At 41.6% G+C, this 17,588-nt stretch overlaps 1 protein-coding gene across 7 annotated transcripts in view; it reads left to right on the top strand.

The window, feature by feature from the left end:
• Nucleotides 1–17,588, top strand: part of RNF152 (ring finger protein 152) — an 86,346-nt gene that overhangs the window by 42,400 nt on the left and 26,358 nt on the right. The window contains exons 5-6 of one of the 7 annotated variants that reach the window (XM_047437349.1): nucleotides 467–10,993; nucleotides 12,967–13,050. The exons of 5 other annotated variants lie outside the window; for them this stretch is intronic. The gene's annotated coding sequence lies outside the window, so the exon portion shown is untranslated. The remainder of the gene's footprint in view (nucleotides 1–466; nucleotides 10,994–12,966; nucleotides 13,051–17,588) is intronic. One more of the 7 variants, XM_005266650.4, reaches the window with a different exon arrangement.

Genomic DNA, 17,588 nt, shown 5'->3' with positions numbered 1-17,588 from the left:
AGGTGACGTCATTTGCCTCATATATGTCATAGGGAGGATATTATAGATAAAATTATTTTAATGAGCCACAAGGTACTGTGCAGATGTCGTTATATTTTCAATGAGACTTCTAGGTTGAGGTTAGAAAGATGATAGAAAGCCTGTAGAATAAGTTTATTATATTCATGTACTGCTGTATAAGAACAGATAGGGGTTGTTATTTTCTAGTATCCTATGGTATTGACCAAGTAGAGGCTCTAGTGCCATGTAACTTCTTAGTGGTTATTTCAGCAATTGAGTTTAATTTTCTCAACTATAAATGGAAATATTAATGCTTGGCTCTTTTAAGATTGCCCTGGGTGAATTTGGGTGTCCAGACAGTCTGGATTATATTGTCTCAGTTTAAACCTTGGCTCTGAAACTTACTGTGTGGGGGATACTCAGGTAGTTACTTAACTTAAGTGTACCTCCATTTCCTCATCTGTAGAAAATGGGCAAATAAGATACCCTCCCATAGGGCTGTTGTAAGGATGAGATAAGGCACGGAGAAAACTGGGCACAGTTCCTGAGTGTCTCACTGTAGCCTCACCCCTGAAGCTGGGGCAGCTCAGGCGCTTGGGTAAGTGTTTTCTCCTCTTTTCCGTCCTCCCTCCCCTCTTCAATAAGCACTTATTGGACACCTACTACTGGTAGGAATATGGTATAGATGCAGTGTTTATGCAGAGTGGACACCCTTGTGAAGGACTTCAGTGATTTAAAGTTTGATTTTAAAAATGAAAATAAAAAATAAAGTTTGATTTAAAATATTGACACAAAGTAGTGATGGGAGGGAGGGATGGGGTGAGTACAGCCTGTCTGTTTCTGATGGGTCAGAAAGGTAAGACCTGAAATGGTTTATTTGCACCAACCACAGTCAGATCATAAGTTTTTTTTTTTTTTTTTTAATCATTGTGGATATCAGCAGATGGTCTTGAGGACCAAACAGAGAAAGGTCACTGGCTGATGCACCTGGTGGTATGTACCCTGGGGAGTGGCCATGATTCTCTAATTTGATTGGCTACACAGCCAATCATGTATGAAAGCAAACATGATGACTGGGCATTTCCGTGTGCCCAGAGCTGCACTAGCCATTCAGGGGTGCATGCTGTCTGCCTGGATGGAGCTTCCTGAGTACGTGTGTACCTCACAGCCTAAGGGTGAAGTGCTCAGGGGGAGGCTGCAAGGTAGGAGGTGAGTAAGCTCTCATCAGTTCCCTGAGCTCAAACAAGCGGTTTGGATAAACCATAAAATTGTCTATATTTTAACCTCTCTGTTTTTAGGGTAGCATTCACATACAGGTTTACTTTGTTGTCCTGAATTTATATTTTTTTCATAGCAAATGATCCAAACTGAAAGCCTCCTTTTTCCAAGATTCCCTTAGTAAATATTTATTGTGCTCTAATCAAGTATATGGAGCTTGAGTCTGCCTCTCAGTAACTTGAAATTTATCAGTGATTAGAACTGTTAACCAAGTTTGATGGTGATCATAATAGTGATGTGTTATTTTTAACTCTGCTTTTCAAGAGTAGAAAAGAATTATTTTAAGGGTATAGAATAATTCTAGCAAGTGCTCAAAGAAATTTTGTTTTGTCACCTATTTCACTTAAAAACCACATATGAAAAATGAGAGGACTGTAATAGTGATAATGATAGCATTCTGCATTCAAGGAGTTATTCTGTGCCAGATGATATGTCAAGGGCTTTGCACACATTTCTCATTTTATCAGCCAGAAACTGTATGAGGTCGTGCTTTCTTAGTGTTCACACTTTACTGACAAGGGGCATTGAAGAATAACAAGGTTAGATAACTTGCCCACGTTCAAGCAGCTTGTCAGTGGAAGGTCTTCCATTTGATTCCAGACTCGTGTCTTTTCAACACTACCGTATTATTGCCTTAGGTAGAATCCACAGTTAGGTGGATTGAGAAAGAAGAAGCTCTAAAAGAGACAGGAAGAAAATATTGGCTAATTCACCCCAATATGTCCCTGCCAGGTTTGGATGAAGAGGAACCATATTTAGACATCTTAGAGATAGGCAGTAAGCACTGAGAATGAGAATTGCCTCAGGTCACACAGTACTTGATAGAACTTACCCAGAAGCCAGGTGCTCCTCAAACTCATTTGATGATGTCAGGGCATGGTGGCTCAAACCTGTAGTCCCAGCAATTTGGGAGGCTGAGGCGGGAGGATGGTTTGAGGCCAGGAGTTCAAGACCAGCCTGGGCAACATAGTGAGACCACTTCTCTTAAAGAAAACCCAAGCCAAACCAAAACAACAGCAACAACACTCATTCAATGAGGATTCAGTCCATACAATTACATGCTTTCAAACTAATTGGTAGAGGAGAGATCCATTTTGTTTTGGATAATCTAAAACCATAGTTTTAAGAACTTTCCATTTGGGTTAAATTTTGAAATTTCTTTCTGCATATTTTGGAACAGTGCACAGGGTTTGGCATTAGCTCAGTGGCCACTTTGGGCAGGTTACTTCAATCCCCTTCGTGTGGCTGTTGGGGGAAAGAGGTGCTAATGACACCTAAAGCTTTGTAGTTATTCGTTGTAATTGCTCAGGGATTGGCCACCTGTGACACTTTTGACATAATTTTAGAAAAGGGAGCCAAGTTCTCAAAAGTAATTATGGGTCCAGGGAAATTCCTCAGGGTTAACTTCAAGGTAGCAAAAATGTAGATTTTCTAAAAAGGAAAATTTCTGGCCATGTCACATAGTGATTGGGTCTTGGTTTTTATGTGTTATGTACTGGAGACCATTTGCCCCAGACAAAGGATTTAGTACTCAGGTTGTGAGCTGGTGAAGCCCCCGCAGGGCAGTACTCCCCTGTTTCTCCACCCATCTCCCCTCAGTGGAGCGAGAGAGAGGAGGCAGGGAGTCATAGTACGGGTTGACACAGACTTGGCTCCCAAACCCCGGGGGATTCACAGCTGACAATGACGGGAAAGTAGGAATGCTCGAAGGCCCTCTCCAGGCTCCCCTTCCCTGTTCTCCCCTGGGCTGGTGCAGAGTCCAGGATCTCCACGGGCTATTGGTTTGTGCTGGAGATTCTGCATCCCTGTGGATCATTCTCCAGTCTTTTGAGACCTCTGTGGGCTGTGTCCTGGCTCTCTTGCCCTCTGGCTTCATGTTGGGTTAGGCCACTGGCAGGAGACTGAGGGACAAGATGGAGAATTCTGAGTACTTTCCTCCTCCCTGCCTTAGCCCCTTGTCCCCATCTGTACATCAGCTCCTGCCGGGCAGGCCTCTTCCGTGGCTCCAAACTTTCACTGCTTCTGGTGACAGCTGCTGTCTTGCCCCCTCCACCCTGAGGTCAGTAGGGGCTTTCCACAGGTGCTGGTCTCTGGGGGCCTTGTAGGACCCTTAACCCTGCATAGACCTACGTACAGTTCCTTCCGAAGCCTCTCTGCAAATACTACTAAGAAGGTAACTGTGTTAGGCTGAGGCCACGTACAGCCTGGGGGGCTGTGTGTAGTAAGTTTACGGATGTTGCTTGCTATTCTGTTACTGACTTCTGGTTTTATCTGGGGGAAGGTGATGGTAGCAGGGTGGTATTGATTTTTTTTTCTTTGATTATATTTGACATATAAACCTAGAGCTTCTCTTTGAGGCTATGGAATCATTCAAAAAATGTGGCATAATTACTAATGGTTAGAAAAATTGTGGAAGCACTGATATCTTGCAAAAATATTGAGAAAGCTAGAAAACTTTAGCTGTTGTGGTGGGTCAGAGAGAGAGGGAGAGGGAGAGACAGGGCAGAGTTAGTAAGAGCCCGCTCTTCCTGCTACCTCATAGGGTTTTAGTTAGCTGATGTGAGAGGAGCCCAGAGGCGCTTTTGAAATCAGGTGTCTACTGTGTGCCAGGCACAGTTCTAGATGCTGGGAATGCAGCCCCAAATGAAACACACAGTGGGGCTTATGTTCTGGGGAGATAGCAGGTGATTCCAAGTAAAATCAGATGGGTAGATTACATAAGGTGTTAGAAGATGATCTGCATCTGGAGAAAAATAATCACACGAAGGGAAGCGTGAGTGTGGTGAGAGCTTGCAATGTGTAAAAAGGCAGTCAAGGAAGACCTTCTGAAGAAAGTGATATTTGAGCTCAGACTTGAAGGAGGTGAAAAGGAAAAATACATCAGCATTTGAGAGCAGAGATTCCAAGCAGAGGGAAGAGTAGGTGTGAAGGCCAGGCCATTGACTGAAGGGGAAGACTGTGGGTAGAGCAGGTTTGGGAAGTGGGTGGGAGGGAGACCGGGAATTCCATTTTGGAAATCTTAGCTTTGAGACGCCTATGAGAAACCCGAGGAATGATCTCAAACGCATGACTGTTGTCAGTGTTTAGTAGTTTTCAGTTTCAAATCGTATCACCATTGGTGTCTTGCTTTCTCTGAGGTGTGTTTTAAGAAAAATAAATGTTTACACCATGGTTTTGGTAGTGATTTTGAGAGTAAGCCTAGGGGCAGAATATGCAATGCCTATATTTTCCCTTGATTCAAAAACCACCTTTGCATAGTTAACAGATTCAAGGACACTTGCGGGAATTTTTTCTGAGTTGAGAGAGTTTTGCCACTGTTTGACCAGCTCTGACTGTAACAATACCAAACCTCTTTTTAGAGCAGAGCTGTGTTTTATGGCATTATGCAATGAAAGTTTCAAGTCGCCCACAAAAGCAGACCCCATGCAAATAGAAATAGCACATTTCTCAAAGCCCCAATTTGCTTGTATGTTAAAGCTTGCTGCCCTGTTAGATGTATTTTTGCTTTTAAATGTTACTCTGATACCTCTTTTTTTGTGTTGTTCTCTCCACTTCTTGCTTTTTATTTATTTCTGAAAGTTCTGTTTTCTTGGTGGCAATGTCACAGTTGCTCTGAATGGTGAGGTGAGACTAAGTATGGGGGAGGAGTACCGGTGTTTGCTGAGCAGCTACTATGTGCACTACTGGGCTGGATACCTTGCTACTTACCCCCATTTAATCCTCATAACAATATTTTGATGGAGGTGTGATTGTCCCTGAGTTACACATGAAGAAGCAGATACTCAGTAAGGTTAACTTGCATAAGGCTACATTATTAATTGGTGACAAGAGTTGGGACTCAAATCCAGACTAGTGGATTTCCAAGCTCTGGAGTCTCCATAGCTCAAGCAAAGCTTTCTCTGCAGGCAGTTTAGTGCTTCTAGATATCAGTGCATTGCATTGTCTGGCTTTGTTACTAATGAAGGTGAGGAGAGCAGTATTAATAATTCTATGTCTGGTGCTTCTTTCCTAAATGTTTCTATGAATTTCCCAGAATGTACAGAATACCTTTCTGGTGCCAGGTGTTTGCCCAGTGTTGAGTTGGTGGCAGCAAGTACTCGTGGAGCTTACACCCTAGCAAATATTTAGTAAGGAATCACTCAGGAGAAGAGTGTTGCGGGGAAAGGAAGGAGTAAGTGCTCAACGAATGTGCATCTGTGAGTTGGGGACCACTTTTCCCCTTACCTCAACCTGTAAGACAATGAATTGTCCAGGTCAGGGAGGTAGAGAAGAAACTCTTGGCAGCAGAAGCAACATGAACAGAGGCTCAATGTAGCGATGAGATTGAATGAGATGAGATTGCATAGGCACAGTGGGTAGAGGGAGATGAGAAGGGGGCCTATTATTTGGTAATAAGAGACTGTTGTACCTTTGAGTTTTTATTACATGACACCATGGAAGCTCCCCAAAGACAGTTTTTTGGGATTGTTTTTTATTAAAAAAGAAAGAAAAGATTGAGGAAAAGGCAAGAACAAGAGAGAGTGTTTGGGTTGAGAATTATGAAGTGTGTATCTTTGTCCTTTCAGGTGCTATAATATAATACCATAGACTGGGTGGCTTATAACAACAGAAATTTATTACTCACAGTTCTGGAGGCTGGGAAGTCCAAGATCAAGGCAGATTTGGTGTCTTGTGAGAGCCCATTTTCTGGTTCATAAAGGGCATCTGCTGTGTCCTCACATGGTGGAACGAGATAAGTGAGCTCCCTTGGACTTATTTTATAAGGGGCACTAACCCCACTCAGGAGGGCTGAGTCCTCATCACCACGCCCCCCCACACAAAGCCCCACCTGTTAATACCTTCACATTGGTGATTAGGTTTCAACATATGCATTTTGGGGAGACACAAACATTGAGACTGTAGCAGTGTGCATTGACTACATTTTTGAACAGACTTATGGTCAGGTTCATCAAACAAAAGTGATTCCTGAGAGGAGGGTTTCAATGAGGAGTACTATTATTCGGGCTGCCTCTGCTACGGGAGGTCAGTTCCTTGAAGAATGAAGATTGCAAGTGCATTATAGGGCAGTAATCTATAGCCTTGTTTTGGAGGAAAATTGACTTCACATAAACCCTTCGATGTCTTAAAGTACAAATGTATCTACCATTTTAAAATGAAACGTTATAAAAACTTTCCAAACCTGCTTTAAGGGAAGCAACTGTTTTGACTATAAATTTCAAACTTCTGCACCTAACTAGGAGAGAGATTGATGTTCTCCCAGCACAAAAGCTCCCAGGTGGCTGAGTCAGTTTGAGCAGCGGCGGCCTGAGTGGTTTGCTCTGCGTGCCCAGCTGGCTGGGGCTGATGTGTGGGCTTGGCGAGAGTTCTGGCACTCTGAGCGGACTTCATTGTTTAATGAGGTTTTATTTGAGATCCCTAGCATTGCTCTTCTTACACAGCACAGCCAAAACTGTCACCTCCACAAGTGAATAAGAAAATCATCTTGGGTGGGTGCAGTGGCTTACGCCTATTATCCCATTGCTTTGGGAGGCTGATGGGGGAGGATAGCTTGAGTCCAGGAGTTTAAGGCTGCAATGAGCTATGATCAGGCCACTGCACTCCAGCCTGGGCAACAGAGTGAGATCCTGTCTGTGAAAACAAACAAAAAACCCACCACCCACCAACAAAATAAAATCATCTCAACTCAGCCTCTGCACTTGTATAACAATCCTACAGTGGCACCAATGTTTTCAGCACTCGTGTCCACTTATGGCCCTCAGGAGGAATGGAAGGAATAAAATGAATGAAATAGGCTCTTTGTTAGTTGCCCTCTATAAATCGTAAATCACTGGGGCGAGTAGGTGAATAAATGCTTTTTTTTTTTTGTTTTAAAAGGCCATTGCGAATATCTAAAGGTCATCAGAGCCTTTTAAAACTAGGTTAAAATGCATTTTGCACCTTCCCTTGATAAATCAAGTTTCATTGCATCTTACTGCCCTCATTAGAGGTACAGGTTTTAAGCACATATGACCTACCGACCCGTGCTATGGTTACACTTATTCTCTCCTAAACCCCAGTCATTGGGTAGACACAAGATGAATAATTTGTTGGCCTGTTTGTGCTAGTGATTTCAAAAAGGAAGCTTAGCTTTTAGATAAAAAAAATGCTACTGTAAATATTCTGCAGTCCTGAACATGTTTCTTACACACAAACAATAATACCAACAAGCACATAAAACCCACCAGAGCCAGTGTGGCTTTTTCCACCAGATCGACATAATGGATGGTTTTCTTTTGCCAAGGTGAAGCATAGTGGTAAGGTATTGTTTTTATGATTTTCCAATAGTCTGTTACTCATAACTCCTCTCAGGTTTGTTGTGTGAGATTTTATAAAAGATATTTGCTCATGAATTTGACTTTGGCTTTCATACAAAATGATTAGTATCATTTGTGCTCTGTAGAGTTTTAAACTTTGAGCTTTTTAGATTCCTAGATACTATGGGGCCTGCCCTCCCCTCCCCTCCCGTCTCCCTCCTTCCCTCCCTCCTTCCCTCCCTCCTTCCCTTCCTTCCTTCCTCTCTTCCTCCCTTCCTCCCTTCCTTCCTTTTCTCTTAATTTCTTTCTTTCTTTCTTTCTTTCTTTCTTTCTTTCTTTCTTTCTTTCTTTCTTTCTTTCTTTCCTTTCTTTCTGTCTTTCTCTCTTTCTTTTTTCTTTTTCTTTCTCTCTCTCTTTCTTTTCTCTCATTCTCCTTATCTGCTTATTATTTATTTATTTTTACTGTGGTAAAATACACATAACATAAAATTGAGCATTTCTATCATTTTTAAGTATACAGTTCAGTGGTGGTAAATACATTCACAATGTTGTACAACCATAACTTCCATCCATCTTCGTAACTCTTTTCATCTTGTAAAACTTAAACTCTATGTCCATTAAATAATAAGTCCTCTTTCCCCATTCCCTGGCAACCATGATTCTATTAATTCTTTCTGTCTTTATAATTTTGACTACTGTAAGTACCTCATGTAAGTGGAATCACATAGTATTTGTCTTTTTGTGACTGGCTTATTTCACTGAACATAATGTCCTCAAAATTCACCCATGTCGTAACGTGTCAGAATTTCCTGCTGTTTTAAGGCTGAATAATATTCCATTGTATGGCCATACCATATTTTGCTTTGCCATTCATCTGTCTGTGGGCATTTGGGTATTTTCCCATGTTTTAGCTATTGTAAATAATGTTGCTATGAACATGGATGTAGAAATATCTCATCAAGACCCTGCTTTCAATTTTTTAGGGTAAATACTCAGAGGTGGAATTGCTGGATGATAGGGTGATTTTATTTTTAATTTTTTGAGGAACTGACATACTGTTTTAAAACAACAGTTATTGCTATAGATTTTTAAACAATAGCCAACAATCCTGAAGGATGTTAATATCTAATTTAGTGAGGCCTAAGTTGAGAAACCAGTGAAACTGGCTAGAAACACACCATTGACCATAGTCATTTCTACTGAGAGATGGCTTTTCTGTAGGGTGTGCACGAGTTGAAAAGAAAATAGTTTTCTCAGTCATTCAGCAACAGTTGTTCAGGTGCTCTTGGCACTTACCTGGCATTCTAAAATCCTTCCCACAGAGCAGGTTGTCAAATACCCGGCTAGCTCTGAACTTTAAAATGCAAGACATTTAGAAGGAAAACACATTTAAACCACTTCCATTCTGTAGAGTCAGGTTGCTGTGAATGGAGAGGTTACCAGAACCAGTCATGAAACAGGGTGATATGGTTTGGCTCTGTGTCCCCACCCAAATCTCATCTTGTAGCTCCCATAATTTCCACATGTTGTCAGAGGGACCTGATAGGAGATGATTGAATTATGAGGGCGGGTCTTTCCCGTGCTGTTCTTGTGATAGTGAATGGGTTTCCTGAGATCTGATGGTTTTAAAAATGGGAGTTTCTCTGCACCAGCTCTCCCTTTGCCTACTGCTGTCCACATAAGATGTGACTTGCTCCTCCTTGCCTTCCACCATGATTGTGAGGCCTCCCCAGCCATGTGGAACTGTGAGTCCATTAAACCTCTTTCTTTTGTAAATTGCCCAGTCTCAGGTGTGTCTTTATCAGCAGCGCAAAAATAGACTAATACACAGGAAGAGACAGAAACTCACTCATGAAGGTGCTCAATAGTCAAGCATTTGACTTTTTGCCATGAAGGAAGAGAGAGGCCAGAGAAGAGTCTCTTGCAGGTCCTAACTTTTGTGAAAACAAGTCTCCAGGGAAACAAAGCCCCTGTGACAACTCGCTTGGGTGTGACAGCTGCCAGCCTTGTTCCAGCAATGACAGCAGCCTCCAGAAGAGAAATGGGCCACTGGGGAATGTGAAAGAATGTGTTTTGCTTTTATGTCTGGTGTGTGGTCAGCTGTCAATTAATAGAACTGTGCTGTGAGTTAGAAAACTAGGCCACAAAGGGGCTTTCAGGAAATGTTTATAATGTGGAATTAATCTGACACTCACTGTGTTGGCTAGAAAATGGAACAATGGCTTGTTCACGACAAATTGTTCAGTAGGAAAAAATGTCATAAGCAGAATTGCTGGTTAAGAAAATAACAAAGTGAATATGATCAACTTGTGGTAAAAATACATGTGAACCCTTAATAAAACTCAGAGCTGAATTTAGTTTTGTGATTTGCTATTAGATTCCTTGTGCTGGCTTTAAAGTGATACCTTTTAGTATAGCCCTGGGGTCAAATGCAACCCACCTCATGTTTTTGTAAATAAAGTTTTATTGGAACACAGTCATGTCCATTTGTTACGTATTGTCAATGGCTGCTTTCTGTTACAGTGGTAGAGTTGAGCAGTTGTAACAGATGCTGTGTGGCACACAAAGCCTAAAATATTACCATCTGTCCCTGTGCAAAGAATGTATTGACCCATGTTCTACAGCCTTGCCACTGAAAGCAGGATTAGTGATTTACTGCCGTGTTGGAGATTGAGAAGCACTAGTCTAAGACCAGTTCTTCACTTGCGGTTTCATGGAGAGGCTTAAGTGATTGCACTCCATGAAATTATACGCACAATTCTGTTTTTGTACAAATGTGTATTTTTCTGCATCTCTACCCACTCAGAGGTAGAGGGGTTTGTGAGCCTTATCACTTTCTCAGAATGACTTGTAACCCCCCAAAGTTAAGAATCCCTAGACTAGAAAGAGTGGCCTTGACTCAGTATGGGTTCATGTCTGAAATGATGGTTGGAAAGATCTTACTCCTCTACACCAAAAATAGATCCAGCTCAAGTTCATTTATTCATTATTCTTAAATAAAGAGTATAAATTTGCAGCACAGCACAGAGGTGGGCTATGTCATTTTGTAACTATTATTAATGGAGAAGGGACTATTTCATGAATATTGGTTCCTTGTGCCTTAATAACTAGTGTCATGTTATGTTGCGGGTCTGGAGATATTTATTACATGCCTCTCCCACCTTGATAAAGTGAAAGCTTTCTAATGTCCAGAATTTTAGGCCTTTGTAGTGACTTTTAATGGGAAACTGGAAATCACTGCTAGTTAGCTTGACAGTGTTATTAAACTTCTATCATGTATGGAACCCTGCAGGAATTTCTAAAAAGCAGAAGATGAAATCTGAAATGGACCGAGCCTGACTTCTGATCAGCTTCCCCATGAACTGCTGCTCCATGTGCCCCATGGGTCTTTCTCACCCCATGCCAGCCTCCTGCAGTAGGTGGTAGGAACCAGATAATTTATATGTGGTTTTGTGTTACCCAGTTGGACAGGTGCTTCTGGAGATGGAAGCTGGGAAGAGCAGTCAAGGGAAGAATAACAATGGTGCTTTTAGAAAGCTGTGGTTTCATGGGTAGGGAAGGGGAAAAGGCTCTGAAATGCAAAACTAGCTGGAGAGAACAGACCTTGTCACTTCCACAAACCTAGAAAGGTACATGCTACACTGTCTATCCATTAGAGATTAATGTAGGGAAAGATGGACTATTGCTATTAAAAATATACATCCTTTTTGGATTTTTCAATGGGAGAATTCTCTAGAACAAATAGGTCCCTGGGTGCTAGGCCCCCATTCTAGAAGCTGGGTTCTGGGAGCTGGAAGGGAATTGTGCAAGGTGCAGGACTAGTTCTCAGGCTCCCTGGGACCCAGGGACTCTGAAAATCCATCTATGAAGCCACAAGCTAGAAGCATATGCACAGAGTATGGCAAGGATGATGCAATCAGATAGAACTAGGAGTTTCCAGACTAAAATGTGAAGAGAAGAAGGACCACTTAGAGACAGAATACCCACCCCACCCCCATCCTCTGCCCTGTGCCACAGCCCCTTGGGGTTCTGGGTTATAAAGAAAAGATAGACCAGGATCCTAGGAGATTTTACAGATGTTGAGGCTTGCCTACTTCGTGAGAGCAAGACTTTGGACACTGTGGTCCATTCAGGCTGCTATAGCAAAATACCATAGACTGGGTGGCTTATAAACAACAGAAACTTATTTCTCACAGTTCTGGGGGCTGGGAAATCCAAGATCAAGGTGCTGGCAGATTCAGTGTCTGGTAAGAGCCCATTTCCTGGTCACACACAGTATTTTCTTGCTGTGTTCTCACATGAGGGAAAGAGCAAATAAGCTCCCTTGGGCCTTTAGGTTACATTTATTTTCTAGCTGTGCCCATGGGCATGCATGGGAGCAGTGATACCCAATGGCAGTGAGCCCACCTGTTACCCAGGCCTTGGTTTCTAACTGACATTTTTCACTAAAAGGAGCCAGGGCTCCCTGGAGAAATGGCTGAATCTGGGCCTGGGGATGGGGAAATACAAGTTGAGCCTGAAATATTTTTTCCTGTCACAAAGTAAGGCAGTGCTCAAAGAATGATGGGGACATATCAAAAGCACACAGGCACGATCTCGGCCCACTGCAAGCTCTGCCTCCCGGGTTCATGCCATTCTCCTGCCTCAGCCTCCCGAGTAGCTGGGACTACAGGCACCCACCACCACGCCCAGCAATTTTTTTGTATTTTTAGTAGAGACAGGGTGTCGCTGTGTTAGCCAGGATGATCTCGATCTCCCGACCTTGTGATCCGCCCGCCTCAGCCTCCCAAAGTGCTGGGATTACAGGGGTGAGCCACCGTGCCCAGCCCACAAAATACTTCTTAAATGTAAAAAGAGGAGGAGAATCCAAGGAGGGACAGGTGATCAAAGTTACTACAACACAACCACCTGCTAGGACGGAGTGGGAACATTATAGCATTGCTTCTGTAATAGCTCATCCTCTCTAAAATAAAAGTAAAAACCAAGGTAAACCTGAATCCATTCATGAGAAAACATCACACAAACCCAAACTGAGGGATGTTCTATGAAATATTAATAACTTCTGGAAATCTTTAAAACTGTGAACGTTATGAAAGTCAAGGAAAGACTAGGGACTTTTGAAGATTGAGGAAGACTAAAGGATTATGACAAGTAAATGCAACCTGTTTTCTTAGGGTCTATCCTTTTGCATTATTAGAGGAACACTGGGTGAAATGTGGATGAGATCTGAGGTAGTGTACCAAAGTAGATTTCCCGATTTTAATGACTGTACTGCAGTTATGTAGAAAATACTTGGAGCATATGGGGATAACGGGACCTCAGGCCTGCAGCTTACTATCAAATCATTCAAGGAGGGAAAGTTATTAGTACTTTTTTTTTTTTTTTTTGGCCACAGAGTGGGATCTGATGAACATTATGTTTACTGAAGTTGTAGAAGATGACGGCCAAGTTCAGCTTGGATTGGAGAAGTGTAAGGAAGGTGAGAGTGAATGGGCAGTTTCTAATATTGTCAGCAGAGAAGCAGGTTCTCCAGGGACAAGGAGGATGAGAGGGCAGGTGGGATGTGCTGTAGCCAGTTTAGGGTCAAGAAGCATCAGCTGACAAAAGGAGGGAGTCAAGGAGTCAAGTCATGAGAAAAGGCTGGGTGAAGACTTTGATAGATCTGAACGTGGAGGTGAAAGCTGGGCCTGCAGTCGCACTTTGAACAGCAGAGGGAGGTGCATCAATCTTTGTTGGCCCTCTAGTGCCATCCTGATAAAAGCAGCTCTTCCTTGTCTTCCTGGCCGTGAATGTTAGTGCTGTCTGGGGACCGTCTGTGGCTATCTATAGATGCTTTGGGACCAAGTTGGAGGATTGCCGGGGACTTCAGAGGAATGAAGACTGTTCATTCTAGAAAAGGGGGTTGGTTTAAGCTCACACTGAGGTCCATTTCATTGAATCTTGGTTCTTTGAGATTCATTTCTGCTAATGTTAATGAAAATTTGGCTGGCTGGAAGTGCAGATCCAAAATGGGAGGATGTAAGTATGACTCCTCCGTCTCTGGTTACAGGGCTGATCTCTGGAGTCTTTTGTGATTGCTACTTTGGTCCCTTGAACACACCAAAGCAAATGAAAAGCCAAAAGAGGAGTCTGAAATTGAATTAGGATTGTTTGTGTTTCATATTAATTCAATTCACTGAAGGATATGAATGCCTAGTATGTGCTTTGGATGCTGCTGTTTGCAAAGATAATGAACATGTGTTTCTTGCTCTAGAGGAAACAAAGTCTGATGGGGGTGAGAATGGTGAGTGAAAAAGTAATTATAATGCAGCTTGGGAATTGTTTCATAGGGACTGATAAAGGGCTGAGGGTTTGGGAGGGAAAGAACCTCTACCTTTGTATGTGGGGACGGGAAGCCTTTAAGTCAGAGGAACCATGTGTGTGTTTCTTCAAAAGACTGGCACAGAGGTGAGAAATCAGAGGTTGAAGAGTGTGTGGACCCTTGGTGAAGACAGGAGGGCAGGAGATGAGGCCTGGATTTTGTTGGATCCAGATCCCCAGGATCTTGTGGGCTATCCCTGCAAAGTCTGAAGGAAAGAATGCATTTGGCTGCTGTGAGCCAGGAACTCTGCTAGACACTTTGTCTGTGCAAAATAGAAATTATATCAAGAACAGCACTAAGTTAGGAAGCGTTATTTTTGTGGATCCTCACACAAGTTGTTTAAAGGGCTATTGGCAGCTTTTCTAGAAGCACAAGAGGCTTGCTATCCCTTTTTTGAGGCTTTCTTCTATCAAGTATCTTAGAAATAAAAAGAACAACTGAGCAAGTGGAATGGAGATCTGTATGAGGGATTTTGTTATATGGGGATGCAGATAAGTCCATAGTAATTAAAAAAATACTTTGAAAAATGTAAAATACACAGAAATGTGGAGAGACTGGTACAAAGTCAGCAGTCTTAACATTTCATCTTATTGGCAGACATCATGACGTTTTACCCTGGAATACTTCCAGTAAATATCTCCTGATAATAAGGACATTCTCTTACATAATCGCACCATTATCACACCTAAGAAATTCACATTAATTCAATATCATCTAATATGCAGTTCATATTTTAAAATGCCTTGTATCACTTTGGGCATTTTCCCCACTCAATCCTGGATCTCATTGTGGTTCATGAATTAAATTTGGTTTCCTCATCTCCGTAGTCTCTTAAAATCTAGAACAATCTCGTTGCTTTTTGTTTTCCTTTCCATGACATTGAGAGTTTTGAGGAGCCAGTACTAGTCCTACATGTCTCATCATCCCTGTCATGACTGACTGGATGCAAGACGAACATTTAGGCGTGATACTTCATAAGGGATGTTGCCTTCTTCCCATTGCATCACCTTGGGAAGCATGATGTCAGCTCTTCCATTATTGAGGGTGCTAAAGTTGATCTTTGGTTAAGGTGATATCTGTAAAGATAACTCTCTTTATCATTTAGTAAGCAATCTGTGAGCTGATATTTTGAGACATGTAAATATCCTGTCTGTCAAAGCCTGTAATCCAATGATTTTAGCATCTATTGATGATTTATGCCTAAATTGGTCATTACATTGGAGATGGTAAAATGGTGGCTTTCAAAAAGTTTAGTTAATTGTAATCCCCCTTCTATTCCTGCCTTTCTTTCCCCTTCTTTTTCTGTATGTTTCCCCCTTTGAGTGTTACTATGGAGTCAAGGATTTTTTTTTTAAATTCAGTGTCTTATAAAACATTACCATCTGTCTTAGCTAGCTTGGGCTGCCATAACAAAACAACATTGACTGGGTGGGTTGAACAAGCATTTATTTCTCATAGTTCTGCAAGCTGGGAAGTCTAAGATCAAGGTGCTGAACATGGTCAGATTCGGGTGGGAACCTTCTTTCTGGTTTGCAGAGAGCCGCTTTCTTGCTGTATCCTCACTTGGCAGGAGAGAGAGAGGGCACTGATCTTTTCTTCTTCTTATAAGGGCACTAATCCCATCTTAGGGCCTTACCCTCATGACCTCATCTAAACCTAATTACCTCCTGAAGGCCCTACCTCCAAATGTCATCACATTGGGGATTAGGGTTTCAACATACGAATTTTGGGGGGACACAGACATTCGGCCTATAGCACTTTTTTTTTTCAATATTCAAATGTTTCCAAATTTGGCCACTCCACTGTGAGCTGGCTCCTGGGGCCTTTTGACATGTCCCCATGTCCCCACGTGATGGCACAAAAGGACATTCCAGGCTCACTTTGTATTTTCCCTGCCCCAGACCTGGAATCAACCATTTCTCCAAAGATGTCAGCTTCTTTTTAGTGAGAAATGCTACTTAGATACCAAGATCTAGGAACTAAGTGTGCTCATTGTTACTAGACTGTCACTGTTTCTAGGCCTTTCAGTTGACAAGGCTTAGAAATTTATGTATTATTTTAAATCATGGGTGTAATCTGATGGTTCCAATTTAAATTCAGTACAACTATGTTCCTTCTCACCTTCTCCCATTCTAAAATTTTTGTCTCTCCTTCCACAGTGAGAAAGCCTTGGCCTTGTTTTCTGACAATATCAATCTGGTTGCTTATTTGTTTTAGCATATGGTCTATACAAACTAGTTTCAGAATTACTACTATACTAGTATCAATACCAATACCAACAACTAACCAAATAGGTAAAGTTCAAGACTGCTTTACAGTTATTATTATTAAAGGATGTACCCCACTAAAGGCGTATGGAGTGCTTGTATTCAAAAGGGATTTGAATGTGGTTCTGTTGTTGAATTGAATCCAGTTTACTTGTTTCTGTTTGTATTTAATTTTAGGGTTTGATTTTGTTTATCCTTTTTAATTTATTATTTTTGATATGTAATATATTTACATGGATCAAAAGTCAAAAATTCAAAAAAGTCATATTGAGGAGGTCTCCCATGCCTTTCCTCTCTGTTCCCACCTGCCTCCTTATTCATGAACCTTTCCCTTAATTGATTTGTCCTTTCTGGGTTTATTTTTGTAAAAATAAACAAATATATATTCTCACTCTTTCACCTTGAAATAAGGTGAACTCTTTCACGTAACAATATAACCTGGCTCCTATTCCAAAGCCATTCATAAACTTCTTTCTCATTCTTGTTTTACAAACACATACCACTCCATCAGGTGGAGAGACGTAGTCTAGTCAGATTCCTATGGATAGGAATTTAGATTTTTTTCCTATTGCAAATAATGGTGAAATGAATTACCTTGTAAATATGCTATTTTGTACTGTGGAGCTGTATTTTCAGAATGAATACTTGCAAATACTTTTGCTGGGTCAAAAGTTAAATCATATGTAGCTTTATTAGATAATGCCACATTTCCTTGCTACCATTTTCTTCTCCCATTTAGCAGTGTTTGAGAGTGCCTATTTTGGGGCAAATTGTTAGAGCCCTTTTTAGTTGGAGTGAGAAATTATCAGTGACTCTCAACCCTCAATTGACATTGGAATCACCCAGGGAACGTTGCCTTTTTGCAGATCTTTGCAGTGGGACCCTACCCCCAGACGCTGATTTATCAGGTTTTCAGTGGACATTATGAAGCATGGATTCAGATTATTTTGTAGAAGTACTAGTTTAACATCTAAGTTTAGTTACCTACCTAGTAACTCTTTCTTTTAAGTAACTTACCATTCTGCGAGGAGATATCATAAAAGCATACTGATAATGTATGAATCTTACTATACTCATGATTTCTGAATTGCCTGCAAATACTGGTAGCCAGATATGCTTAATTTTTTTTAAAAATGGCCTAATTTCAGTTAGTTTTCACCCCTTCTACAAGCATTTATTGAGCACTTACTGAGTGCCAGTCATTGCCTAGGTACTGCAGAAAGAATACAAGACAGACCAGATCCCTGTCCTTGGGGTCTTCTTTGTAGCCGAGGCAGATGAAGGTAAATAAAGGTCAATAGAGTCCATCAGTTGGCTAGATGCTGGGTGTGTGTGTAGGTGCCTTCCCTCTAAGGAACTCACTTTTCAGTGTGGGAGACTAAAAGGACA

The sequence above is a fragment of the Homo sapiens genome, chromosome 18 (genome assembly GCF_000001405.40).
Source record: "Homo sapiens chromosome 18, GRCh38.p14 Primary Assembly".
Lineage (NCBI taxonomy): Eukaryota > Metazoa > Chordata > Mammalia > Primates > Hominidae > Homo > Homo sapiens.
Note: the sequence above shows the minus strand (reverse complement) of the source record. Positions and strands in the feature narration are given on the sequence as shown.